This window comes from Homo sapiens, chromosome 18 (assembly GCF_000001405.40).
Source record: "Homo sapiens chromosome 18, GRCh38.p14 Primary Assembly".
NCBI lineage: Eukaryota > Metazoa > Chordata > Mammalia > Primates > Hominidae > Homo > Homo sapiens.
In genome coordinates this window covers 23,708,445-23,736,439 of record NC_000018.10, presented here as the reverse complement: position 1 = coordinate 23,736,439, position 27,995 = coordinate 23,708,445, and the positions used below count along the sequence as shown (strand labels likewise).

The 27,995-nt window shown below is 42.8% G+C and overlaps 1 protein-coding gene and 1 pseudogene across 13 annotated transcripts in view, besides 3 other annotated features; one reads left to right on the top strand and one right to left on the bottom strand.

Annotated features, from left to right (window-relative positions):
- Positions 1 to 27,995, bottom strand: part of LAMA3 (laminin subunit alpha 3) — a 265,614-nt gene that overhangs the window by 218,627 nt on the left and 18,992 nt on the right. For all 13 annotated transcript variants that reach the window (NR_130106.2, XM_011525978.3, XM_011525982.3 and 10 more), the window contains exon 2: positions 22,368 to 22,520. Coding sequence is in view for 12 of the 13 variants with exons in the window: in XM_011525978.3 (XP_011524280.1) it covers positions 22,368 to 22,520 (153 nt within the window). In the remaining variant the exon portion in view is untranslated. The remainder of the gene's footprint in view (positions 1 to 22,367; positions 22,521 to 27,995) is intronic.
- Positions 9,513 to 10,483: an enhancer, noted in NCBI's record as "H3K27ac-H3K4me1 hESC enhancer chr18:21305921-21306891 (GRCh37/hg19 assembly coordinates)". NCBI's record gives its function as "activates a minimal SCP1, AML or CMV promoter by ChIP-STARR-seq in naive H9 embryonic stem cells {active_cell/tissue: H9 hESC(naive)}" and the evidence as "EXISTENCE:reporter gene assay evidence [ECO:0000049][PMID:30033119]".
- Positions 15,471 to 15,971: an enhancer, noted in NCBI's record as "H3K27ac hESC enhancer chr18:21300433-21300933 (GRCh37/hg19 assembly coordinates)". NCBI's record gives its function as "activates a minimal SCP1, AML or CMV promoter by ChIP-STARR-seq in naive H9 embryonic stem cells {active_cell/tissue: H9 hESC(naive)}" and the evidence as "EXISTENCE:reporter gene assay evidence [ECO:0000049][PMID:30033119]".
- Positions 15,972 to 16,472: an enhancer, noted in NCBI's record as "H3K27ac hESC enhancer chr18:21299932-21300432 (GRCh37/hg19 assembly coordinates)". NCBI's record gives its function as "activates a minimal SCP1, AML or CMV promoter by ChIP-STARR-seq in naive H9 embryonic stem cells {active_cell/tissue: H9 hESC(naive)}" and the evidence as "EXISTENCE:reporter gene assay evidence [ECO:0000049][PMID:30033119]".
- On the top strand, positions 26,142 to 26,642 carry RPL23AP77 (ribosomal protein L23a pseudogene 77; annotated as a pseudogene).

The window sequence follows — 27,995 nt, the reverse complement described above, 5'->3', positions numbered from 1 at the left end:
AAATGGGACAATATGATCAATGTGAAAGATAGTCTCACTAATTGACCATACAAATACCACCCTATAGTCATCAAAAGCAAAGAAATAGATGCATATCCAGCAATATGGGTGAACCCACATAATATAAAGCACAGGAAAATTGAAGACGTCAAACTAGATGTGATAGCACATTTATACAAAGTCTAAAAATACATACATTAAAAAAGCACTTCATATTTTATGAGCAGTGTATTGTAATGGTTTAGAGTGCAGAATCTGGAGCCAGAATGTCTGGTGCTAGCTTCCAAACTGTGCCATCTCTTAAGAAATTAAGCTTTGAGATTCACTCAATCTCCTTGTGCCTTACTACACTTGTCTGTATAAAGAAATAATAATAATACTTAATGTTGAAGTTTTTGAAAGGGCCCAATAAAAACCATCCCTCATTCCTATCTGGTTCTGAACCAATTAACAAATAAGAAAGAGGAGCAGGGCAGATGAGGGCAAAAGACCATATTTCTGGGGAAGCGGGTCTTAGAGGATGCAGGTTGTAGTTGCTGATACACCCTGTGGCCGGGCAGCCCATGTGGCTCTTCTCTGCTCAGGGTGAAACAGAGAAGAGCACTGGGCTGCTCCCAAGGGATGAGGCAGAGCTGTGCATGCCCAGCTCTAGACTCCACACTCACCATCTGGAAAAAAGTAAGCAGAGAAAGGCCAGGAGCATGCCTAGGGGGACGCTCTGCATTGAAAGAGACATTGGTGCACATGTAACACGCAAGGTTGGCGTGAGGAGTAAGAGCCCATTCCTGCGGGACTCTTGACACAGAGCACAGCACACAGTAGGTGCTCAGCCCACAGCAGTGAGCGCACCTCAAGGGAGCGTGTTTAAGGATAAGTAGCAAAGAGGTCAGAGCAGATGCTTATGAAGGAGAAGGGATCAGGAATGGGGATCTTAGACAAAGGAGGAAAACAGAAATAAAACAAGAGACAGGCACAGCTCACAACACGCTAGGAACGAAGACGTATGAGCAGCTCACTCCTAGAAGCCTACACGCATAGCTCTACAACTCTCTAACAACTTCTTCCTGTGGAGACAGAATGACTCAAAACTAAATGGAACAGCAGTCTCTAGTAATCACAAAATATATATTGCTGCATGTTCTGGTCAAATGACTTGGCAAAAATCCCAGGGAATCTTTTGAAATGTTGATAGCCCCTTGTCCTGGTTCCAGGCCAGCCTCAGGAGCCACCTTTGGTTCAGGGTAGAGAGAAGATGGCACAACGGGGAGAGCCTCATAAATGCAATTGCCAGTGGGCACATGTACCCAAGGGGGAGTCACATGCAGTCTACGAGGAACCCTTTCCTTCTTGTGGTTTTGGCAGTCAGTACTTGAGATTATTCTTTAACTCACTCTTGTTAGCTAAGAGAAATAGGTATATTAACCGCCTCACTGGTAAAGAAAGAAGACAGCTTCCACTTGAATTGCAATTCAATTGCCCAGGGACTAAGTCCATCCCAAATTTGGGAAAACTTTCTGAGCTTTAAAATATCCATCTGGACGGCCAGGTCCTGCTCCTGCTGGCCGTCCAGATCCCACAGCTCTGCCTTGTATCTCCATGACCCTGTAAATTTCTGGCTTCTTCTTTTCTTGGCATTCTACTCAGGCTGGAAAGACCTTTCCATAAACCAAACCCAGGACTGGTTGCTCCTTGAAACTCCTGGTGCACAGGCACAAAGGCCTAAGGATGGCCACGTGGGGCTATCTTTTTATTGTAGTTCGGTCAGAATCTCAGTTTCTGTTCATGGAGTTCTAAAAGGAAATCTTTGCTTTTTTTCTGCTCCATTCCAGGGAATCTATTTGGAAAGTTCTGTCCATCTGCCTTTTGTCCTACAACTGAGGAACTGAGGATAGTTAGAGGCACACTCCGTTAGAGTGGAGTTTGTGTCTATCATGGTAAGTTAGCTGTGGTTGCAGTGACCATGCATGCCAAAACCTCAGTGGCTTCAAATAATGTTTGCATCTCACCCATGCCCCATGTGTACTGAAGGTGGGCTCTGCTCCATGCTCTTCTCACCCAAGGACACAAACTGATGGAGGCTGTATTGTCCGGAAGATCCCTGAGGCAGAGGGAAGGAACTGTGGTGCATGGGGAACCAAAGCAGGCCCCATGGTCCCGTTTTCTGTTAAAGACACAGGACATTCAGAATACCCTGAGCCTGAAAGGAGACCTGGAAATCCTGGTGAGCCAGGAGTACAGACAATGATGTTTAGGCGACCCCACTGCATACCAGTTTGGCCCCACTGTCCTGGCTAAGTTGGAAATCAGTGGTGGTAGAAGTTGAGACGGCAGAGATGTTGCGTCACTTTTTCTCCACTCACGTGTCCCACGCTGGCCATGGAGGATCACCGTGGCTGAGAGAACACAGAGTGAATCCCTGATGCAGGGAAAATGTCACTGCAGCACTCTGAAACTTCAGTGTACATTAGAAGCAACCAGAAAGCATGTTAAAATGCAGATTCCCAGGCTATAATTCTGGAAATTCTAATTCAGTAGAAATTCAGAGAGCTCAAATTCGGTAGATCAGCAGGAAGTACTGATGATCAGTACTCATGACCTTGACTCATGATCAGGTAGCCCTGGTCATGACAGACTAGTAGAGATGACCAACCATTCCAGTCTGCCTGGGACTGTCCTGGTTTTAGCACTAAAAATCCTGCATCTCCAAAACCCCTCAATCTCAGGCAAACTGGGATAACTGGTCACCCTATGAAAAGGGCCCAATAAACTCCGATTTATCTTCTAAAGACAAATGGAAAAGCTCCTTCTTTGCGAAACCTTCCTGAAATGGTTTGGCTATGTCACCACCCAGATCTCATCTTGAATTATAGCCCCCATAATTCCACTTTGTATGGCAGGGACCTGGTGGAAGATAATTGAATCATGGAGGGAGTTTCTCCCGTACTGTTCTCATGGTAGTAAGTCTCACAAGACCTGATGGTTTTATAAGGGAAAACCCCTTTTGCTTGGTTCTCATTCTCTCTTCTCTGCTGCCATGTAAGACATGCTTTTCGCCTTCTGCCATGATTGTGAGGTCTCCCTAGCCATGTGGAACTGTGAGTCCATTAAACCTCTTTTTCTTTATAAATTACCCGGTCTCAGGTATGTCTTTATCAGCAGCATGAAAACGGACTAATACACTTCCTAAAATATTCCAAGCAAAGATAATGCCTCCCTCCATGGTAGTTACACTTATCAGGGATACCCTAATCTTTGTGCATGCATTTGACTCTCCAAGAAGCATGTGAAACCCCAGAAGCCAAAGCTGCCCACTGAACTAGAAACCTAGGCCTCCTCTGCTTGGCTCCCTGGGCTGCTGATTAGTCCCAAACCTGGAGCTCTATCTGCTGGGATTCTTCAGCTTGAGGAAATGCAGGTCAAGAGAGGATAAGTGGGCAGGTGATTGCAGTAGCAAGTAAAAGTCAAAAACAGTGGCACCTGCCAGAAGGATTAGTCAAGCAGAATTATTAAATTAATAGTAAGAAGGACAAGAAAGAGGAGAACTAGCACTTGTTGAGGATTTAGTTTGTGCCAGGTACTAATGCTTACATGTTTTGTGGCCTTTACAACACCCCTAGTATGTCAGTACTATTATTATCTCTAATTTATAGATACAGAGGCTGCAGTTTGGAGAAGACACATGGCATGTTTACAGTTACCCAGTGAGTAGGTAACAAAGCAAGGATGTAAACCTACATCTGTAGGATTCCGAAGCCTGTGCTCTTAAGCAATTAGCTTCCCTGGTATCTCAAACAGCTACAGGTTGAGATAGAGCCAATGCGAGGGAGTTTGATGCTGAAAACCTGCGCACCCTGCAGGTCCCTTCTTCAAGGAGCCTTTCCTCCCTGGGTGGTTCCGCGAGGGATTGCTGCACAGACTGATTTTGCAGCACCCATGTGAACATACCCAAGAAAGCCAATTTCTGTTTACTGATCAAACAGAAGGAATGGAAAGAGTTAGCTGGGTGTGAGAAGTTTTACCCCAATCTTTGAGTCTGTGTGTCCCTAACATACCATGTTCATTCCCACCCTCAAAGTCACTTGGGAGGCTTTGCCTCCTCCTCCTCCTGGATCTCATCTTTCTGCACCAAAGCTCTCGCCTCTTCCCTGCTGCCCATCCTACTACTAGCCCCAGCCTTTGCCTCAGCTCCTCTCTTCCCTCTGAGCCCTTCTAGCCCCTGGCTGCTCAGAATGTGGCCCACAGACCAGCAACCTTGACCTCATCAAGGGGCATCTTAGAAATGCAGGATCTACCGGCACAGCCACACCTTGTGAATCAGAATCATCATTTTAATAAATGATCCAGATGCACACTAAGGTTTGGGAAGCACTGGTTCAGCCCATAATACACACCCTTGTTCCATCAGAATCACATTGCCAGGGCTGCCCTTTCTCCTAAGGAAAGCTGATCTCATGTGACTCTGAAGTCAATGTCTTACCTCTCCTAAAGCCATTAGCCTTTTATTTTATTTTTTATAATTTCAACTTTTACTTTAGATCCAGGAAGTGCATGTGTAGGTTTGTTACATGGGTATATTGCGTGATGCTGAGGTCTAGGGTACAACAGATCCCATCATCCAGGTAGTGAGCATGGTACCCAGTAGTTTCCCAACCCTTTCCCCTCCCTCCCTCCTCTAGTAGTCCCCAGTGGCTGTTGTTGCCATCTTTAAAGACATGAGCCTTTTAAAAGCTTTATCCTCAGCTAAAGGAATTCCAGGCTCATGGGAAACCTACTCTTACCTCCTGAAATTACACCATGCCAACAGCTGCCAGACCATCTCCCTGGAAAGCTGGCCCTGTTTTCCTGCCTGTGAAGTGTATGTCTTCTTCATGCCATGACTGCACACCAGTTTGTGGGGCAAAGTAAGTGTCTTCAGGTAGATAGTACAAAGTACAGTATATTTGTGCAGGTCTATCTGCCACAAGATAATACATTGAGCAAAGAATTTCACTGTAGAGCACACTTTAGTCCCCAGCTGTCCTCCAAAGAAGCAATAAATCTTAACAAGAAGAGAAAAAATGACTAGGAAGAAGTACAATGTGGGTGGGAGGGGTGTTTTAAAAGAATGCCTCAAGACATTATATGTCATGTTCTAGATGCTTAGGATGAATCCCTGTATATTTAGAATCCCACTCTTAGCTAGCAACACACATATTATTATCCCACTGTCACTGGAAACATTTAAGAGCAAAAGAAAAAATTCTCTGGGAATGAAGTAGTACAATAGCTCATGAGGTCTTATAATTAAAGGATATATTTGCTCAAGGGGAAAACAACCAAATCAATTTTAAAAGGCAACAGCTGAGTAAAAGCAGGTTCTTTGTCCATTAGGGGTTGTAAAAGGAAAATTATAACCTGGCACCGTCTTCAGACAGCCTTTGATGTTCAGTCATTCTGCTTGCTGTTGAGCTTCTCTGTAACAATCCACTTAGAAAAAACCCAAGAAATAAGCCTTGGTAAGCTCATAAAGTTTCAGAGTCTTCCGCAGAATTGCACTATACTTCTCAACATGACTCAGAAATATTTAACAATGTAAAACAAGAAATACTTCTGTATGAATATACAAATTTTTCAGGCTTAGAATAATCATAAAGGTAAAATATGCCCGGACAGCGTATTCTAAGTAAGAAAAAATGTATCACTGAAATGAAAACAGCAATTATATTTCACTGTTTCATCAATATATTGCTTGTATTCATCTACATCCCATTTTGTTTAAGAAAAAAAGAGTGAAGCCTGGGCACGGTGGTTCATGCCTGTAATCCCAGCACTTTGGGAGGCCGAGGCAGGCGGATCACCTGAGGTTAGGAGTTCAAGACCAGCCTGGCCAACATGGTGAAACTCCATCTCTACAAAAATACAAAAATTAGCTGGGCGTGATGGTGGGTGCCTGTAATCCCGGCTACTCAGGAGGCTGAATCAGGAGAATCGCTTGAGCCCGGGAGGCAGAGGTTGCAGTGAGCCAAGATTGCACATTGCACTCCAGCCTGGATAACAGAGCGAGACTCCGTCTCAAAAAAAAAAAAAAAAAAGAAAGAAAAAGAAAAAAAGACTGGGGAGGAGATTGAGGGCAGTGTATAAGGATGGAAAGAAAATGGCAATGTGAAATCACCAAAAATCAAAAACAAAAAAAAGGAGTAAAAGCAAAATTACAGATAGGGATGAAATGTTGGAACCTGTAATGAGGTTTGCACACAAAATAATGCAGGCCATGAAGCTGTGTCCACCTGCATGGTGGAGCCATACATTTGCCCCTATGCTTCTAGTAGCCAGCAAAAAGAGGGAAACTTAATCCCAGGGTCCATACATTTTTGTTTTATTTCGTTTTTTAATGTCCTAAAGAAGCACAACTATTCCGGGACTAAAGGGATTGTCCAAATGGATCTTTGCAGGGGAACACAGTGGGCAGTGATGAACAACATCATGACAGCATCCTGCGAGAGGGACAGCAATTATGACCAAACACCCACACGGGCCATGAGCATTCCAGCTAAGCCCAGCACAGACAGGACGGGAGCGTCACGTACATTGCCATCACACAGCGCCTAAGGCTGGCTCTGGTGCCAGACTTGGGGGAGCAAATCCCGGGTCTATCCCATACAACCCTGTGAGGCTATGAAACATCTCTGGGCTTCCCATTTCCCCTTCTAGAACGTGGGGACCCACCTCATAAGCTTGCAGTGAGGATTAAATGAGTTAATAATGGTAAAGTGCTTAGGTCAATTTCTAGCATGTGAATTATGTTAACAGTAAATTTATGTTATATCTGCCATATATATATATAATCATTTTTAAATTCTAAATGATTACCTTTTGAAGCAGATGTTGAAGAGTTTTCGAAGACTTACAAGATTATCTACCACAAAAGAGCAACATACTTTCTCCCTACCATCTATTTTTGAAATATTTAAATTAATACAATTAATACTCTAAATGACCAAAGATCCAACCTTTTCATTATGTCTTCAGTGTGTTCCAAGTTATAAAAGACAAATATTTTTACTATCTGTTGCATATGTATGGCTTTGGTATGTATATGAGGGACATATGAGAATAGGGCAGACATAAGTAAGGAAGTCTCTGTATCTTCATTCATTCATACACGAAGTATACATTTGCTGGATTATTTCTACATACCAGACATTCTCCTAGGTGGTGGGGATACAGAAAGGGACAGAATATTATTCTGTACTCCAGTCATAATTCAGTTGAGATCTCTCTGTCTCTCTCTCTCTCTACACACACAAACACACACACACACACACACACACACACACATACACACACAATACATCATATGCACTTTTTAAAAACTTCAGTATGGTCACCCCTCAATACTTTCCTTCATTCTTTTTTTTTTTTTTTTTTTTGAGACGGAGTCTTGCTCTGTTGCCCAGGCTGGAGTACAGCGGTACGATCTCCGCTCACTGCAACCTCTGCCTCCCGGGTTCAAGCGATTACCCCGTCTCAGCCTTCTGAGTAGCTGAGACTATAGGTGCGCACCACCACACCTAGCTAATTTTTGTATTTTTAGTAGAGACAGAGTTTCACCATGTTGGCCAGGCTGGTCTCGAACTCCTGACTTCAGGTGACCCGCCTGCCTCGGCCTCCCAAAGTGCTGGGATTACAGGAGTGAGCCACTGCACCAGCCGTTTCCCTTCATTCTTTAAAAGATGACAACTGGAGAGCTTTGGCAAATTTCAGCCAGTAGAAAAGCAAGTCAGAAGGCTGCGTGTCACTCATAGTCCCAGGGATAGACACTTCCTTCCTACTAGAAGGAAGTGATTGAGGAGAGCTTAATAAAGCACCTACAGCATTGACAAAGGCAGTGGCAGCAGGAGGGAAGCCTTCTGGTAATGGGGAAGCATCTCAGAGCTAAGAAGATCTGAGGACCTCTCCTACCCTGGGCTGAAGGGGAAGGAGAGGGAACAGATGCTGGATCCCAGACAGAGCTGGAGCCTTACAGTGAGTTGCCTGCCAGGAGCCAAGATCCTCCTTAGGATGAAACAGCTGGGATACTGCAGCCTATGGGCCAACAGAGGCAGCTGGGGGACCAAATGCCCCATTGTCCTTGCCCTCCTACCCCCTGAGCACCTGGGATACCTCCCCCCAGCCTGTTGCTGCTGTCCAGGAAGGTCACCAGCCTGGGTCACTGGGCACAGAACAGGCGTAAGTGGACAGATAGGAGGGAGACTATCTGGGTCACAAGAGGGCTTGGGCTGTTTAAAGTTTCAAATAATGAACAAATGTATCTTGAACTACATCACCAAATCTGAGCCAGAGGAGAGACTTGAGGTAGCAGAGAAGAGGAGGCCTTTTCAGGATGTATCTGAATAGCTCTGAAGCTCTGAAGAAAAGGTTCAGTAGGCCAGGCACCAGTGGCTCACAGCTGTAGTGCCAGCACTTTGGGAGGCCGAGGCAGGAGGATCACTTGAAGCCAGGAGTCCAAGACCAGCCTGAACAACATAGTGAGACCCTATCTCTACAAAAATAAAATAAAATCAATAGTGGGGTGTGGTGGCACGTGCCTGTGCTCCTAGCTACTGGGGTGGTTGAAGCAGGAGGATCACTTGAGCTCTGGAGTTCGAAGCTCCAGTGAGCTATGATCACGCCACTACATTCCAGCCTGGGCGACAGAGCAAGGTCCTATCTCAAAATAAAACAGAAAGAAAAGAAAAGTTACAATACATGGCCTAGAGCAGCACTACTCAAAGTGTGGTCCATGGACCAGTGCTGGTCCAGGAACTGTTTGTTACTCATTCACAATAAAACAAGGGGCCAGGGGAGGTGGCTCATGCCCATAATCCAGCACCTTGGGAGGCCGAGGCAGGCAGATCACCTGAGGTCAGAAGTTGGAGACCAGCCTGGCCAACATGGCAAAACCCCATCTGTAGTAAAAATACAAAAATTAGCCAGGTGTGGTGGCATGTGCCTGTAGTCCCAGCTACTGGGGAGGCTGAGGCAGGAAAATGGCTTGAACCCAGGAAGCAGAGGTTGCAGTGAGCCGAGATCATGCCACCGCCCTCCAGCCTGGGAGACAGAGTGAGACTCCATCTCAAAAATCAATCAATCAATCAATCAATCAATCAATCAAACAAGGACAGAAATTGAGAGTCAGCATTTAGAAAGCCTTAAAACAATTTAAAAGAGTAAGCTGATATCTGTTAAATCTGATTTTTAAATGAGGCTTATATTTTGTATGTCTTTAGGTTTTATTTCCAACTTTTCTGGACTTTGGCCTAGGCAAAGAATTCATGACTAAGACCTCATAAGCACAAGCAACAAAAACAATAATATATAAATGGGACCTAATTAAACTAAAAAGTTTCTGCACAGCAAAATAAATAATCAACAGAGTGAATAACCTGCAGAATGGGAGAAAATATCTGCAAACTCTGCATCTGACGGGACTAATATCCAGAATCTACAAGGAACTAAATTCAACAACAACAAATAAATAGCCTTATTAAAAAGTGGGCAATGGGCCGGGCACGGTAGCTCACTCCTACAATCCTAGCACTTTCAGAGGCCGAGGCAGGCAGATCACTTGAGGCCGGGAGCTCAAGACCAGCCTTGCCAACATGGTGAAACCCCGTCTGTACTAAAAATACAAAAATTAGCCAGGCGCAGTGGCGGACACCTGTAATCCCCGCTACTGGAGAGGCTGAGACACGGGAATCGCTTGAACCTGAGAGGCAGAGGTTGTAGTGAGCCGAGATCATGTCACTGCACTCCAGCTGGGCAACAGAGCAAAATCCTGTCTCAAAAAAATAAAAAATAAATAAAAATAAATAAACAGGGGCTTGTGTGAACACTATAGCCACCTGCCCTCAGAAGCAAGTAGGGGCAGCCCAAGCCAGGTGTCAGGCCCACCTGCTCTAAATACCAGGCACCTTCAGGCCCAGCCCTGCCCAGCGCCTGAGCCAAAAGACACCCAATCCTGGCAGTGCGGGTGCAATGCCTTCCCCATGAACACAGGGATTTACAAAACAGCCGTCCACACAGTCTTCCTGCCCTCGCCTCACTCCACAGCAAGGAGGCTGGACTCTGCTCTCATGTGCTTTATCTCACCTGGGCCAGGCTCTGGCTGGGCGCTCTTGCCCTCATGAGAGCTGTGCCAGCTGCTCTGCCCACCTGGGACCCTGTGCTGGAGACACCACCTGGATTTCAGCTGCCTGGGCCCACCTGGATGGCAATTTAAACTGATTCCAAAGAGGGGAGGGGTGCTGCATTTCCCGGCTCTGGGCTTCCTTGCCCCACTCACCCTCCCCATCTCTTTGGGAGCTCCCAGGATACTTGGTGTAGGAGGTGGCTCAAGGGATGGTGAGAGTCTGCCCAGCAAGGATGACTGTGAAGGGAGGGGAAAGAACTGAATGTTCCATGCTGGTTATGCTGGTTACTCTGTGATGCTGAGGAGTGATAAAGGTAAACATACAATTTTATCACTCAAAGTGCTTAAAACCTATGGAACAGAGTATGTCATGCATGGTGCGCTGAATCTGGAATTCCTAAGCCATAGAATGTTTGCATTTGTGGTTTAAGAATTAAAGAGAGAAGTGCAACAGCTCAGAAGTTTGCTCTCAAATGAGAGAGACACAGGCACATAAAGCACCCTTATCTGGAGGCTACAAGACCAAAGGGAACCTTGTGAGGAAGAGCAGCAGAAGCTGCCAGGTGGAGGAGACAAAACCTGGCCCCTCTGGTCTAGAGTGAGCTGCGCAAGTCCTGGGGAGGCAGGATGGTCACATTGTCTGTGCCCTGAGGCCGCCTGGGGACCCAGTACAACTGTACTAGACAGGCAAAGAGCTTGGTCTTGCTGGAGCCCCCCTTATGGGGAGCCCCAGACCTCCTTAGCTCACTCCCCACCCACCTCCACTCCCCTCTCTGCACACACACCCCCAGTGACTCAGCAGGCCACCACTCTGCCAAGGACACAGCATGGCACCCTCCTCAAGGCTGGCAGTGACCACCAGAAAAGAATGGTGGGTTAGGCCGGGCGCGGTGGCTCATGCCTGTAATCCCAACACTTTGGGAAGCCGAGGCAGGTGGATTGCCTGAGGTCAGGAGTTCAAGACCAGCCTGACCAACACGGTGGAACCCCGTCTCTACTAAAAATACAAAAGATTAGCTGGGCGTGGTGGCCCATACCTATAATCCTAGCTACTCAGGAGGCTTTGGCAGGAGAATCACTGGAACCTGGGAGGCGGAGGCTGCAGTGAACCGAGATCGTGCCACTGCACTCTAGCCTGGGTGACAAAGCAAGACTCTGTCTCAAAAAAAAAAAAAGAATGGTGAGTTATACTGTTATACTTAGAAAAGGTGGTTTGGTTTGGTTCTTGTTTTTTCCTAAAGTAAGGAAATGCGATGGGAGTAAAAAGTGAAAAAGAGAGAGAGGGGAATCACAGAAACAGGAATAGAGAAAAAAGAAGCATCAGGAAGGAAAGAGTGAAGGAAGACCATTTGGTGGTGCAGGAAGGCTGCAGGGTCACAGATATGAGAAGGAGCAAGGGCTCTGTGGGGGCTGGGCAGGTGCCCTGAGGACAGCAGGCAGAGAAGAGGTGCCAGGCACAGTGACTCCCCTGAGACGCCACATTTAACTCAAGCTTCCGTGAACTGTCATGAAGAATTCATGAAATTCAGTTTTTCCTTATATATGCTTGCCATTAATAGTAATAGGAAAATGGCCATGATTTAAAGCCCAAGTGTGCTTGAAATTGCAAAAGTTCCACAAGGGAAGAAGCATATAAAATAGTTTTCAAGATTAGCTAAGGAATGAAATATGCTCTTTTTTAAAAAATCAATTTCCATTTACTGAGTATTTTTCTGATTCTGTTGGCATTGAAAGATCTCTAGCAAACCAGCCTCATTCTGAGACAAAACAGTCAGAAGCTCATATCAGGGGGACGGGGTGGCAGGGGGTGAGATAGGGCATGGAGGGCATCAGGAAATAGTTCATACTGGGGAGACAGAGGACATCAGGAAAACTCCAAGGAAGCTTTTTCATTGATAACTCAGATTCTACCAGAAATCATTGTTCCTTTTATCCTCTTTCTATAGAACCCTTTTATTTTCTCCAAAGAGAAAATGGCTTTATTGATTTTCTAATTCTAAAAGTAATACATGCTCATTGTAGAAAATAAAGATGTATACGTACATACCATTGACTATTACTCAGCCATAAAAAGGAATGAATTAATAGCATTCGTAGCAACCTGGATGGGATTGGAGACTATTATTCTAAGTGAAGTAACTTAGGAATGGAAAACCAAATATCGTATGTTCTCGTTCATATGTGAGAGCTAAGCTATGAGGATGCAAAGGCATAAGAATTACTCAATGGACTTTGGGGACTTGGGTTAAAGGGTGGGAGGGGGATGAAGGATAAAAGTCTACAAATTGGGTGCAGTGTATACTGCTTGGGTGACGGGTGCACCAAAATCTGACAGATCACCCCTAAAGAACTTACTAATGTAACCAAACACCACCTGTTCCCCAAAAACCTATAGAAATAAAAATTTTAAAAAAAATACAGATAGTATAGGTAACATGGATTTAGTTCTTACAGCATGTAAGGCACTATTCTGAGAGCTTTTTCTGTATTATCTGATTAATTTCTCACAAGAACCCTCCTAGGTTGGTACTAGATTTATCCCTGGATTTCAGATGAAGATACTGACCCCGAGACATTCGTTAGACCATCCAATTACACACAGCCAGGAAGCTGTGGAGTGAGATGTTTACCTAGGTAAAAACCCAGAGCCAGCAAGCTGACATACACTGTGAGATTTACAGAAGAAAGTAAAAATCACTGATCTCCCCATCCACCGAGAAGCACTCTTAGCATGTTCAAGTATCTCTTTCCAGACTTTGTTCTTTGCTTATATAGGCACATTTTTTTTTTCCTACTAAATGTGATCATTCCATACAGTCTAGCTAGTTTACATATAGTTTTGGTCTGTTTCTTCACCATATAGCACAGACACATGTTGTGTCGATAAAGACCATTCTATGGCATCATGTGGTGCCTATTAATCCACTAACTGAGTCAGTCCCCTTTTATTGGACATGAGATTGTTTCCCACTGGATGCTATTTTTATAATGCTTTGGTGAGTATCTTGCATCAGACATTAGAGCATTTATCTCATGAATTCCTTTGGATAAATTCAGAGTAGTAGTTTCATGTCAAAGATAGAAATTTTTTTAATGCAAATATTCTGGGAAGTAACATCAGTACTGAGTTCCCAGAACTTTCGTGTGAATGTGTTTATAGATACTTCACTCCCCAGAAGACATAAGGCAGCCTAAGCTCATTAACAGGGAGAGTGAGAGGATCAATGACAACTTCTCTAGGTAATAATAATAAAATTCCATATCATAGATGATATGTAAATGTAAAGCTCTGGTTCCTCTCCCCAGCCCACAGACTGCCCTTTCCCATGTGATGCCAAACTCTGGTTTTCACCCTTCATGATGAGAAAGATCCCTCTGACGACTTTACAATGGCCTTAATCCTGGGAAGTGGCCAAATGCTGGTCATAATTGTGTGTTGACCCAAAGTTGCATCGTAAGACTCACCAAGGAGGTCACAGTGACCTCCGTTTATCATTTTATCATCTTAACTTCTATCTGTATAGACTGAGAGAACATTCCAGAAGAAAGTGTTTTGTTTCCTAGTGTTGCTGTTCCCTAGTACAGTTTTTATCTTTCTTCCTATTTCTTGGATTTATGTTGACTGCCTACAGCCTACTGAGTGTTTTGGAAGGAAACATATTTAATTCATTTTCTGTTATGTCTGTTATATTTGTGGTGCTAGTTTTATGAAAACCAACAAATGTAAATGTTAGCTTAAAATAGAGCAGAGCTGTCCATGATGATAGCAAGACATATAATTCAGTGGAATAATAAGAAAACAACAGTATTGGAATTCACATTTCCATTTAATTCCATCTTAGTGGAGGACACAGTATATTCTGGGACTTTTAAGCCCCATGGATACAAAAAGAATATGTTCACACAGCTGCTGAGCTTAAGGAGCACACGGTGGATCAGCCTTTACGGCACAGCTTAGCAAGTGCCTCTGAGTAAACAGAAACAGCTCAGAGGGAAGCAGGCAGCCAGGAAGGGTTTCCAGCAGGCAATATTTGAGTTATCTCAGAAAGAAGATAGCCAGACCAGGCAAGGTGGGAAGGAATTCCAAGAACTGTGAATAGCACCAAAATAAGGCCCAGAACCAGGGAACATCATGGAATATCCAGGGAATTACAGTTAGGTCTCTACTGACATAGCATAGGTCTTGCAGGAGAAAGTGCCTTTTAAGATGAGGCTGGCAAAAAGTCTAAGGGCTAGACTGAAGGAGCGTATGTGACATGTTAAGAAACTTGGACCTTATTCCAAAAGTAATAGAAAACCACTAAAGGATACTAATCAGGGAGAACAACACACTGAGATCTTTGTTTTGCGCTGGTAGTAATGAGAAGATTGATTGATAGGTAGACCCTTGGAAGACTGCCAACCTGATTGTTTCTAATCTTTCTCAGCTCACCACTATGGATTCTGTTCCTTTCAGGCTGATTCTAAAACAGGGTAAGCTGAGAGTAGATGCTGGGAAATCAGTTAGAAGACTGGTGGACTAATCATGGGGAGAGCTGCCATGGGTTCCACTACAATAGTGCAGTATCAAGGGGGAGGAGGAGCCAGACTCCAGAGATAATACGGCACAAGACATAATGAGTTTACTAAATGGTAAGTGGGGAGGGAGAGGGAAGTGGAGGGATATGGAAGAGACCGAGAGAGATATTGGGTAAACTGGCTCTTGGAAAGGAGCAGCCCTGATTTGTAACATTTGCTGATTTCCATAGTGTAAATGCTCCCACCATGGCCAATATGAAGCTACTGAGCTGATGTGCCACTTCTAGTCTTGCCCACACAAACCTCCCACACAGAATCTTCCATGCTCTTTCCTCATTCGGGCTGGTTAGAATAAAGATGACCCACGGGGCAACATTGGGAACCCATGTGTTGAAAATGGCAGACCCAATTATGGAAGGAGTTTACGTCTTTGAACCACTGTTTGGAGGGGAACTGCTTAACCAGGATCAGCTGTGTTTGGACATGATGAGAAATATACCTTCATTGTATTTAGCCACAGTATTAATCAGCGTTCTCCAGAGAAACAGAACCAATTGAATGTGTGTATATATACATATATACAGAGAAAGAGAGAGAGACTTTTTTTTTTAATAGAGGCAGGGTCTTACTCTGTCACCCAGGCTGGAGTTCACTGGTGCTATCATAGCTCACTACAGCCTCCAACTCCTGGGCTCAAGCAGTCCTCCCACCTTAGCCTCCTGAGTTGCTAGGACTACAAGTGTGTGCCACCATGCCTGGCTAATTATTTTATTTTTTTATAGAGAGGGGCTTTCACAGTGTTGCCCAGGCTGATCTTGAACTCCTGGCCTCAAGCAATCCTCCCACCTTGGCCTCCCAAAGTGCTGAGATTATAGACATGAGACACTGCACCCAGAATGAGTTTTTCATGTATTAAAAGAAAACACCTGATTTCCAGATTCTTCCTAATGTATAAATTACTTCAAAGCACCCCAAATTAACACTTTGAAGTTACTAAAGGACCATAAAGGATAATATTCTATCCCTAGTAGCCCAGAGGATTTTATTGGCACCTGTTTTTCTACCCACTAATGAATTGTTTGACTTCAAGGGCTGTGCCTCATGATGATGTTCATTAATAACACATTTATTGGCTCATGCCTGTAAACCCAGCACTTTGGGAGGCTGAGGTGGGTGGATCACGAGGTCAAGAAATCAAGATCATCCTGATCAACATGGTGAAACCCCATCACACTAAAAATACAAAAAAATTAGCTGGGTGTGGTGGTCCGTGCCTGTAGTCCCAGCTACTCGGGAGGCTGAGGCAGGAGAATCACTTGAACCTGGGAGGCAGAGGTTGCAGTCAGCCGAGATTGCGCCACTGCACTCCAGCCTGGTGACAGAGTGAGACTCCATCTCAAAAAAAACAAAAACAAAAACAAAAAAACACCATTTATTAATAGCAAAATTGTTCTAAATATAATCTTCTGTATTTTCTAATTTTGTTATAGCTATAAAATACTCTTAAAATGTTGCAGAGAGACTCAAGTGTCATAAATGGAACGAACCGTAATTAATTACAGAGCTAAAACTCTTCCACCCTCACCCAGAGATTTGGTCTCACAGCAATATGTTTCCATTACTACTATACCCTGGGAAAGTTCAGGCTGATGCTGAGTCATCCTTGGTTCATTCTACATTAACTCAGCAAATATTTATTAAACAACTATTGTATGCTAAACACTGTGCAAGATGTTGGAAGCAAAACATCATGTAGTGAACAGAACACAGTGAACAAAACAAGACATAGTCCCTGGCCTCCTGAAGCTTATAGTCTACACAATTCCTCAGGAATCCAGAAAGACTGGGTCAAAACCAAGAGCCATCCACCTTCTGGATTGGGCTGTGTCCACCCGGGGAACCAGCTGAGTCACCCTCCTTAGTGACCTCATCAGCCAACCATCTGTAGAGCCAAGTTAATCTCCAAAGTCCTCAAGCCCCAAAAGTATCAGAAACTAGCCCAGGCTTCCCTCCACATCTGAGTCAGCTACAAAGAATGTTTTGGATTCACCCACCAAAGTCTCATAAAAGTTGAAGGGAATCAGGAAAAAAAAAAAAAAAAAGATTCTAGAATGCAACTACATACTGAATTCACTCTCAGATGATTGGATCCTGTATTTGCATCTGGCTCCTGGGGAGTTCACTGTCTGTGATGAATTCATGAAAAATTAGAAAGGTAGAGTAATGGGGCATTTCTCCTGTGACCTATTAATATTTTTCCTTAAAATTTATAATGCAGTTTCCCCTATTACATTTAACCTTGGAGCTTTAGAAACAATTTCTGAATTTTCTATTTTTTGCATTTTAAATAACATTTTCATAGTATTTGCCTGTGTTAACACCTGCAGGGGGTTTCAGGGTCTCAATCTAGGCTTCCTTTCCTTATTTGTTTATTTATTTATTTAGAGATGGGGTCTCACTGAGTTGCCCAGGCTGGATTTAACTCCTGTGCTCAAGTGATCCTCGTGCCTCTGCCTCCTGAGTGGTTGGGGCTGCAGGTATGAACCACTATGTCCATCTGGACTCTCTTTCTTCTGTCTTAGTTTGGGCCCTCTCTAAAGCCCTGAGGCAAAGACTTGAGTAGAGGTAGTTTATTTAAGAGTTGACCTCAAGAAGCACAAACTGGGAAGAGAGGAACATAAGGGAGGGAGAAAAGCCAAAAATCAATGTGTTAATGAGTAGGCTGCCACCAGAGCAACCCAACCACGGCTCCATCCTACCAGGGACACTCTGAGGAATTATGTAGAAGGCACTTTAGAACTGGCCCATTGAGAGGCAGGGAAATGCGGTATTTTCCCACCAACTATCATCCCTCTTGGGATGAGGATTGCCCCTTGGGGCATTAAGTGCTGGGCTTGCAGGCTGCTCTAGACACAGCTTTTAGAAGCCTCTGTAAATCTAGAAAGAGCCTTCAGGCAGGAAGCAAAGTCAGATGCAGGCCCTTGAGATGGGACAAGGGAACAGGTGTGGGAACTATCCATCCCAGCTGCCACTCAGAGGGGGACCAGGGAGCTGTGGACATCACAGCCTTTGCCTCTACGAGGCCCAAAGGACCATCTCAGCAGCTCTGCTCCTGCAGCCACATCTGCTGTCTCCAGGCCTCACTCCCCCGCAGCCCTGCAGAGCAGGGGCAACGTCACCTTCTCTCCTCACACCTCCATCCTCTGAAGCCAACACTCAGTCCTTTTCAGGGCTTGATGTTGGGGGTGAGGGATTGTCTTTGTTTATTTTTACTACTAACAGGTTTAAATAACAAAATAATACTCTTGGAAACATTACACATTGCATACAAGCCTCAAAATTCTTCAGATAATTTTGTTGTTGTTCCCTGGAACACAATGAGTCAGGCTTGCTCTGCGGGGGCTGAAGTCATGGACCATAGGAACTCCCTCCGCACCCACCTCCTCATGTTTTTCTCTATACCTCACCCTGGGGAGGGAGCTGGAAGGTGAACATAGGGAGCCCATAGAATAGAACTCTGGAGTTTGGATTCTGGAGGAAGTCCAGAGTGTATATGTAGATCCCACCACTACACCTTCCGATCTCACGGGAGAGATCTCCAAAGCCCATGCCCTACCAGGAATCCAGGCAGAACAAAGCTTCCTAGATTCCAAAGATTCTCCTTTTAAAAACTGGACATCTACATGCTTTAAATGTAAAAATGAACTCATTATATCTGGCCAGATGATACAAAAGCTTCCTGAAAGACATCGTGTTCTCATTCTATAGCCTGAAACTACTGCATAATGTATAATTAAATGAACTTGAACAACCCCGGAAAGTATGATGCCTCTAGTGAATCACAGAACTGTCCTACATTTACCACGTTTTAAGGGGAAACTGTCCTTTAAGATCAAGTCTGTGGACCAGGCACGGTGACTCATGCCTGTAATCCCAGCACTTTGGGAGGCCGAGATGGGTGGATCACAAGGTCAGGAGTTCGAGACCAGCCTGGCCAACATGGTGAAACCCTGTCTCTACTAAAAAAAAAAAAAAAAAAAAAAAAAAAAAATTTAGCCAGGCATGGTGGTGGGCACCTGTAATCCCAGCTATTTGGGAGGCTGAGGTAAGGCAATCACTTGAACCTGGGAGACGGAGGTTGCAGTGAGCTGATATCACGCCACTGCACTCCAGCTTGGGTGACAGAGTGAGACTCTGTCTCAAAAAAAAAAAAAAAAAAAAAAAAAAAAGATCAAGTCCAGAAGGTAATGTTTTTATTTGTCAAACTTATTGGCCAAAAAAATAACAATGAAAAACACCAACTAGTCTAAAAGAAAACAAGACCCTCACAACAGCATAAGCTGTCAAATTGACAACAGCACATCAAAATCAAATTTCAGTTCTTAGCAGGTGAAGTGATTTTGTAGTAACAAATTTATGATCTGCATTTTATTTCTCAACCATGCCTCAAAATTCCCACTTCTCTCCCTCTAAGGTCTTAATGTTACTATTAATTATGAAATCTAACCTCTCAGTGACATTCTCATGGTTAATTCCAGCAAAAGGAAGAAAACACAGATCTTACCAATGGGGCAAAAAATAGGAATCTTACAAGACACAACATGCTTGTTAAAACATGTCATGCTCCAACACAGAAGAGGAAAGAAATGTCTTCAGTCTGACATAACTGATCATGCTTTTCCTGCTCCTAGACTTTCTTAGAATATTTTCTACAGTATTATAGGTAGTGTTTTCTAGAGGCACAAATGTGATCAGTCTGTTCTTTTTAATGAGAGTTTATTAAAGTTCACTTTATTTTATTAAATAAAAAATACGACTGCTCTAAAGAAGTTTTAAATGAAGCAATTAACTCATTTAGAACTCATAATAATCTTATGAGGGATGCACAATTATCTCATTTTATAAATGAGGAAACTGAGGCAGGGAGCAGAAAAATATATTTGTTAAGGCCACACAGCAAGTGAGCAGAGCAATCAGGACAAACTGGCCAGGCTGACTCCAGAACCCACATTCTCAGCAGCCTCGCAGAGCAGAGCGGGTGGGTGGACACAGGCCTTATGCATATGCATGCCATGACTCACGTTTGTCAGCAACCAGCAAAGTACTGAACTGTTCCTATGTTGATGTTTTCTTAATTGTCTTAATTAGGGAATTTTTCAGTACATCAAAAGGAGGCTTTTAAAGTAGGTTTAAAAAAAAAGTTCTAAAGAAAAAAGAACAAGCCAGCAGACATGGGTAAGTTCAGTATGGGTCATTTTGAAGGATTAAAATTCCCTGTTACCTATAAAAACCCTCAGTTAAATAAGCGATATAGGCCAGTCACGGTGGCTTACGCCTGTAATCTTAGTACTTTGGGAGGCCTAGGTGGGCGGATTGCCTGAGCTCAGTAATTCAAGACCAGCCTGGGCAACATGGTGAAACCCTGTCTCTACTTAAAATACAAAAAGTTAGCCAGGCATGGTGGCACATGCCTGTAGTCCCAGCTACTTGGGAGGCTGACGCACCAGAATCACTTGAGCGTGGGAGGCAGAGGTTGCAGTAAGCCGAGATTGCACCACTGCACTTCAGCCTGAGCAATAGAGTGAGACCCTGTCTAAAAAAAAAAAAATCGATATGGTAGGTAATTCTTGGTTAGTATTGTCAGAAGCTACTGAATGAATGCTAGTGGTTAGGTATCAGAGGGATAAGACTAACTTATAGTTGAAAGGAGGCTTATTAGAGTCTTTTGAACCATGAAGGCTCTCTGTGAATTCCTGCAGACACAAATTAATGGTGAAAATATTCTCAGGAGAGGTCTAATTTAGCACAACACATGGACTAAAGAGGTTGAAAGCCCTTCTGTCACAAAACTGCCCAATCGAAATGAAAAGAACACATTCATTCTAAGAAATCTCAGTATCATTCCATTTCTATGCTATGGGATGCATTTACCTTTTTCTTTCTTTCAAGTAGTATTTTTTATATGAACTGTACTCTATGCTTAACTGTTCCCAGCAAAAAGAATAGTATAAACATTAATATTAGTATTAGCATTAGTTTTAGTATTAGTATCAACATAACAAACTCAGTTATGAAAATGTTCTAATAATAGCTACAGTCTTCTTCCTGCTGTTTACGTTACCATCTGCACACAAGCACACAAGCATGTTGCTATCTCTATCATAAACAAAGAAATCTCTTTACCTGGCTTTTCAATGATTCTCCTCCATTTCTTTTTGCCCCATTGAGCAGAACTCTTAAAATTGATTTCTGTATTAGGTACTTCAATTCCTCTCACATTCTCTCTTAATTTCCCTACAGTTAACTTTTCAATGCTCTCTTATCAAAGTCACCAGTGATCTCCACACTGGCAAATCCAATGGTCATTTGCTGCTCAGTTATCAGTGTTTTGCTATTTGGCTTATCAATGGCATTTGACACAGTTATTTTCTCCCTCCTTTTTTTTTTTCTTGAAACACTCTCTTTCCATGAATCCTTTTTTTTTTAACAGTTTTATTGAGATACAATTCACATACCATACTGTTCACCCATCTAAAGTGTACATGCCAATGGTCTTCGGCATATTCACAGAGTTGTCCAACCATCATCATCATCAATTTTAGAACATTTTCATCACCCTCTCTCCAAAAACATACCTATTATTAGTCACGCCCCAATTTCCTCCAAAACCCCTAGCCCTAGACAACCACTAAGCTACTTTTCTCTCTATAGATTTGCCTATCAGGACATTCCATATAAATGGAATCATATAAGATAGTCTTTTATTTCCAGCTTCTTTCACTTTCCCTGATGTTTTCAAGACCTTAAAAAATCATGCCAAGTTAAAGAAGCCAGTCACAAAAAGACAAATACTATATGATTCCACTTATATGAGCTTCCTAGAGTTGTCAATTCACAGTAAGAGAAGTAGAATGTTGGCTGCGAGCGGCAGGAGAAAGGGGAATGGGGAGTTGCTGTTTAATGGGAACAGAGTTTCAGTTTTGCAAGATGAAAAGGGTTCTAGAGATGGATGACGGCGATGGTTGCACAATGATGCCAATGTACATAATGCCACTGAACCATATACTTAAAAATGGTTAGGATGACAAATTTTATGTTGTGTCTCTTTTACCACAATTAAAAATAATAATAAAAATATCTTTGCCAATGAAACTATTTACAATTATTTTTTAATCTCATTTAATAGACAGGGATGGGCATCTATCTGCATGCTGCCAGGCACTGTTCCGGGCTTTGTTTTTGTTTTCGTTTTGAGATGGAGTCTCTCTCTGTTGCCCAGGCTGGAGTGCAGTGGCGCGATCTTGGCTCACTGCAACCTCCACCTCCCAGGTTCAAGCAATTCTCCTGCCTCAGCCTCCCAAGTAGCTGGGATTACACGCATCCGCCACCACACCCGGCTAATTTTTGTATTTGTAGTAGAGATGGGGTTTCACCATGTTGATCAGGCTGGTCTCAAACTCCTGACTTCAAGTGATCCACCCACCTCGGCGTCCCAAAGTGCTGGGATTACAGGCATGAGCCACTGTGCCTGGCCTATTCTGGGTTTAAGGGAAGCAAATGTTAATGTAACAGGTTTAACAATGATGAGGGGATTAAAACTGAAGTTTGTTTTTTTTTTACAATAATTATTATATCAGAAATCCCCATAGAAACAGTGATCTAAGCTCATGTTCCCATTCCAGTTAAAAGTGTAGCTCACCTGCCCCAGATCCAAGGTGAGGTTGACTCTGTTGTACTGTGTGCCTGAGGACAGGGGAGGGCTTTGCCACCAACGTTCAGATCCATCGATGGCATTGGTGACAGGATGTGCTTTCCTGGGGTCTTCAGAATTGCAATAGTCACAGAACTGGCCCTGAAAAAAAAAAAGTGGGTTTTTTTTGTTTTTTGTTTTTTATTTTTTTACTTTCAAGTAATTTTTTCTTATCCATATAGCAAATACAGGGAACCAAACAAAGACTATCTTATACAGCTTAGAGAAGTCAGCTGTTAAAATTCACTGGAATGTATTCTGAAACAGTAGTAAGGCTTTCTCTTTTTCATTTATCTTAAACCTTATCACCGATTTATGCCTCTGATTATGGTGTTTTTAGGATATGGGGTCTATTTATCTTCCATCTTTACAGCTATGTTTTTGTTTCATACAACACTTCAAGAAGAGCCTGTTGTATTTGGGATGAAAAGAGGTTTTCACTTCAACAAATCCACTTCACTCATTAAGTCATCCTCTGTGCAATTCTGTGTGCGGCACTGGGGTACAAAAAAGATCCCTCCCCACAGTCCCAGTGGTGCATCAAGGATCCAAACAACCATCAGGGAAGGGGTGTACAGCAAGTGCCTCCATGGAGTAGATGGCTGTGGCCAATGGCGGTAGATATTCCATGGTGAAAGAGAAGGCATGTCCAGTGCCTGGGAGGACGGATAGGACTTTGGTAAGTGGCAGTGAGCACAAACAGGGAAAGCATTCCAGGTAGAGGAACCAGCACGAGCAAGGGCACAGGGGCCGGCTGGTCTTGTTTCACCTTTGAGGGCAAGCATTGAGAGACAAGGCTTGCCAGGTACATGGAGAGATGTGGCTGGCTGTGAATACCAGCACTGAGAAGTCAGTATTAATTCAGTAAGTAAATGGGGATCCATTTTTACCTGTGGTGATAATCTGTTTGGTATTATAATCTCTAACTTCTTATTGAATTACTCTTTCTTACTAGGCAGATTCTTTTGATTCTGGTTTTTGTTTTGGTTTGGTTTTTGCATAGTTTTGCAGCCATTTACTATCTAAAACCTGAACATAGGCCTTTCTTCTATGTCGAATGTATTTTAAGTGGGTCAGAGGATCATGCTTCCCAGGGATGGACTTCACATACTGAACTATCTGCTCCCAAACTAAATGCTCTTAGGGTATAACCATCACATAGGAGGGGGACAAAGAGGCAAACTTATACCCACAGCCTCCCAAGGAATGTGCTGTGACAAAGAGGTAGCTCTGCCCCTAGCCAGCATCTTAGAAGTTAATTCTTAAGTGTTCAGAGAGAAATTTGATCCTGGTATGTAACCAAAGGTGTGACCACATGTTTTCATCTAGTATGCAACTCATGGTTCTTTCATGCATGGTGAGGTATCTGTGTAGATCTTTATCTTTCGACATTATACAAAAATGGTTCTATAACTCAGAAGCAGTGCCTTGGGTGTATGTGGCCCCGCCACTTCCTGAGGTCGGAGGCCATATGTTTCCTGCTCTTCCCTCTATCACTTCAACCCAACACACTGCCTTGCACCCCCTAGAAACTCAACCAAGGAATAATTCCATCAGCCATTTCTCAAAAATGTTGATTCTTTCTATAAAATGCATTGTCATAATATGGTGCTTAATGAATAACTTTTTTTTTTTTTTTTTTGAGACGGAGTTTTACTCTTGTTGCCCAGGCTGGAGTGCAATGGCATGATCTCAGCTCACCGCAACCTCCGCCCCCAGGTTCAAGCGATTCTCCTGCCTCAGCCTCCCGAGTAGCTGGGATTACAGGCATGCACCACCACGCCCGGCTAATTTTGTACTTTTATTAGAGACGGGGTTTCTCCATGTTGGTCAGTCTGGTCTTGAACTCCTGACCTCAGGTGATCCGCCTGCCTCGGCCTCCCAAAGTGCTGGGATTACAGGCATTAGCCACCGCACCCAGCTATGAATAACTTTTAAGCTAGGACATCTAAACACTTACTATCAGTATTTTCCCTTCTATGATCTTTATTTCTCCCTAGAGAACATTTTACCAGAACATTTAGTTATTTGATGAGGGAATTTAATTATTATTCCTCAAAGTTTAGAAGATTTACATCTGGCTAGAAGCAAAATCTCTCCCCAAAATGGGAATGCTTATGATTTACATTTATCTCCATCTCCACATTATTGATGTGAGGAATGCAGAAGGTGCTTTCTAGGTTGTTAGAGTGATTCTCAATTTCAAAGTAATAATAATAATTAAGATGAAGATTTGTAGAGCACCTATTATGCACTGGGCACCACCCAGTTTATATTTTCATACTAAGATTATTATTATCACCTCTATTTTACAGATGAGGAAAGAGAGTGGAATGTTAAGTAATTTTCCCAAGAACCACACCACTGGTCAATGGTAGAATCAGGACCTAAGTCCAGAGTCCAGGGATAACAAGTTAACACTACCCTGTAACTCTCTAACAGCTACAACTCTGGTTTATTATACATCCATGCATAATCACTAACATACGTTATTTCCTGTAATTTGTTTTAAATGGTAGCCTTCACAGTAGCCTGAAGGTCTCTTTCATTTAGAATCATCTTAGCCTTTCTGCTGATATAGCAGTCCCTCTGCAGCTCCTGTCCATGTCATTCAGCAGACTAGGTAAGAACACAGGCTCAGGAGCTTTAGCACTCACGTTAGCCCTTGATCTCACAATTAGTAGGCACTAAAAACTATATATATCAAATATATATTTCAAGTCTGAGCAATAAATAATTTGAAAGCACATATTTAAAAAATAAGTGTATAGGCAAGACAGCATCACAGGTGTCAACACTGACATTTGGAAGTCTGACTGATATAATAGATACATAAGTTAAAGGTGAATTCCAAGGAGCGAGCTTTGCCCAGGTAATAAAAATGAGTCAAACTTTCTGTTTATTTCTAAGGACTATTGGAAAAAACCTTGACAGACAGCAAAGAATCTACAAAAACAACTTGTCAAACCAGTAATGCCCTAGATGATGGTTTTTCTGGATTAACTTTGTATTAGCCAAGTTTAGGTGATAAATTTTTTGCCATATAAAATAATTTCTAACAAAGAGTCCACAAGCTTAAGTTAAACATTAACAAGCAAAAGTGTAACATACACTTTCTGTTTGAAAAATAAAAAGATCAGTGTAAACATTGACTTTAAAAAGAAAGAAAAATTTATTCTAAAAATTTAATAATGTATTTAAAAATTAATAATTAGAAAGTTTGGCTTCTTTAAGTTACTCTTAAACGGTCAGGGTGAAAATTTTTTATTCAAATCGTTTTATTAAAGTATTCCTTGTCCTTTCTTTCATTTGTTTTACTCCTGAACTTTCAGTAATTTTTACCTTACATCTCAATGTCATATTTACTGCAAATCAACCTATATGAAGAATCAAAAAGAATTTAGTAGTGCCCTAAAGGAAATCAGACTGTGGATCTAGAAGTGAAAAAAAAAATCAGAAGAATGACTTTCTTAAGTGTTAAAACTCTTTGCAGCCTTCTTAATCATTTTTCTTGAGCTCTTCATGGAGAATTAAGTCGACGTGGACATGCTACCTAGATAAGTAGACTTGCGGTTGAAGAACTTTCTCAGGGAGGCCAAGGTTATGACTAATCCTGCAAGTAAAGCCTTGGCACCAAGCAACAAGGTTTTGAGAGAAGATAACCTCGTGGGGCTTTTTAAAAGGGCAATACCTGACAATACTTTTGAAAATCAAACTTGCGGTCTTTTCACAAGATGGCGCCGAAGGCGAAGAAGGAAGCTCCTGTCCCTCCTAAAGCTGAAGCCAAAACGAAGGTTTTGAAGGCCAAGAAGGCAGTGTTTAAAGGTGTCCACAGCCACACAAAAAAAGATCTGCACGTCACCCACCTTCCGGCGGCCCACGACACGGCGACTCCAGAGGCAGCCCAAATATCCTCGGCAGAGCGCCCCCAGGAGAACAAGCTTGACCACTATGCTATCATCAAGTTTCTGCTGACCACTGAGTCCGCCATGAAGAAGATAGAAGACAGCAACACACTTGTGTTCGTTGTGGATGTTAAAGCCAACAAACACCAAATCAAACAGGCTGTGAAGAAGCTCTATGACATTGATGTGGCCAAAGTCAACACCCTGATTAGGCCTGATGGAGAGAAGAAGGCATATGTTCAACTGGCTCCTGATTACAATGCTTTGGATGTTGCCAACAAAATTGGGATCATCTAAACTGAGTCTGGCTGGCTAATTCACCAGAAAAAAAGAAAGAAAGAAAGAAAAGACAATCAAACTTGTGGAGCAGAAGAGAAAAGAATCCATGGGACTTCTCAGATGGAAGATCATTGAGGAGGCTCTTTCCTTCCCATGAGTATCACTGGGACAGGCCACTTTATTTTTTCTGTAGCCATATCTTCCAACAGACGCTTATACCAACTTTACTGCTTCATGGTCATACACAAAATAAAAGGTCTTATATATTTATAAGTCTCTGCTATTTCTGACTCAACCTGGTGTTTTCCACAAGAATTGAAAGTAAAAAATGGGCAAGAGACAAGAACAAGAAGGATTTTTTTAAAGGCAGGAGAAAAAAACAGATGTATAACATTTGGAATAAACGAAATAAAACTGTTATTATTTATTTAAAGATAAAATTATTTACATTAAAACTCCACATGAGGCTGGGCACAGTGGCTCACGCCTGTAATCCCTACACTTTGGGAGGCCAAGATGGGCAGATTGCTTGAGCCCAGGAGTTCGAGAGCAGCCTCGGCAACATGGAGAAACCCCGTCTCTACTAAAAATACAAAAATAATAGCTGGGTGTGGTGGTGCCTGCCTGTAGTCCCAGCTACTTGGGAGGCTGAGTTGGGAGGATCGCTTGAGTCCAGGAGGCTGAGGTTGCAGTGAGCCAAGATCATACCACTGGACTCCAGTCTGGGCAACAGAGCAAGACCCTGTCTCAAAAAAAAAGAAAAAAGAAAAAACCTCCAAATGAAGCCAGGCACAGTGGCTTACACCTGTAATCCCAGCACTTTGGGAGGCTGAGGCAGGAGGATCACTTGAGGCCAGGAGTTTGAAACCAGCCTGGGCAACATAGCAAGAAAAACATTTTTTTTTTTTTTTAATTAGCCAGGTGTGGTGGTATGTGTTTGCAGTCCCAGCTACTTGGGAGACTGGGATGGATTGCTTGAGCCCAGGAGCTTGAGGCTGTAGTATAGTGAGCTATGATCACACAATTGCACTCCAGCCTGGGCAACAGGGTGAGAACTTGACTCTGAAAAAAATAAAAATAAAAAATAAAAAAAGAAAATAAAGACCCAAATGTATCTGCTAAAGAGAATTTTAGAAATACTGGGAGATTTTTAGCAAGGTAGCTGGATGTGACATTAAAATAAAAAAGTCATTGCATCTCTGTAGAGTAGCAGCAAACAACTAGAAAATTTAATTAAAGAGAAAATGCCATTTATAATAGTCTCAGAGAACATCAAGTATCTCAAAAGAAATTTGACAAATAAAAATTTTAAACAGTATTAACAGAATTTTGAAAATCTACATAAATGGAGAGTTAGCTAGAAGATAATATCAAAAACTTACCAATTCTCCCC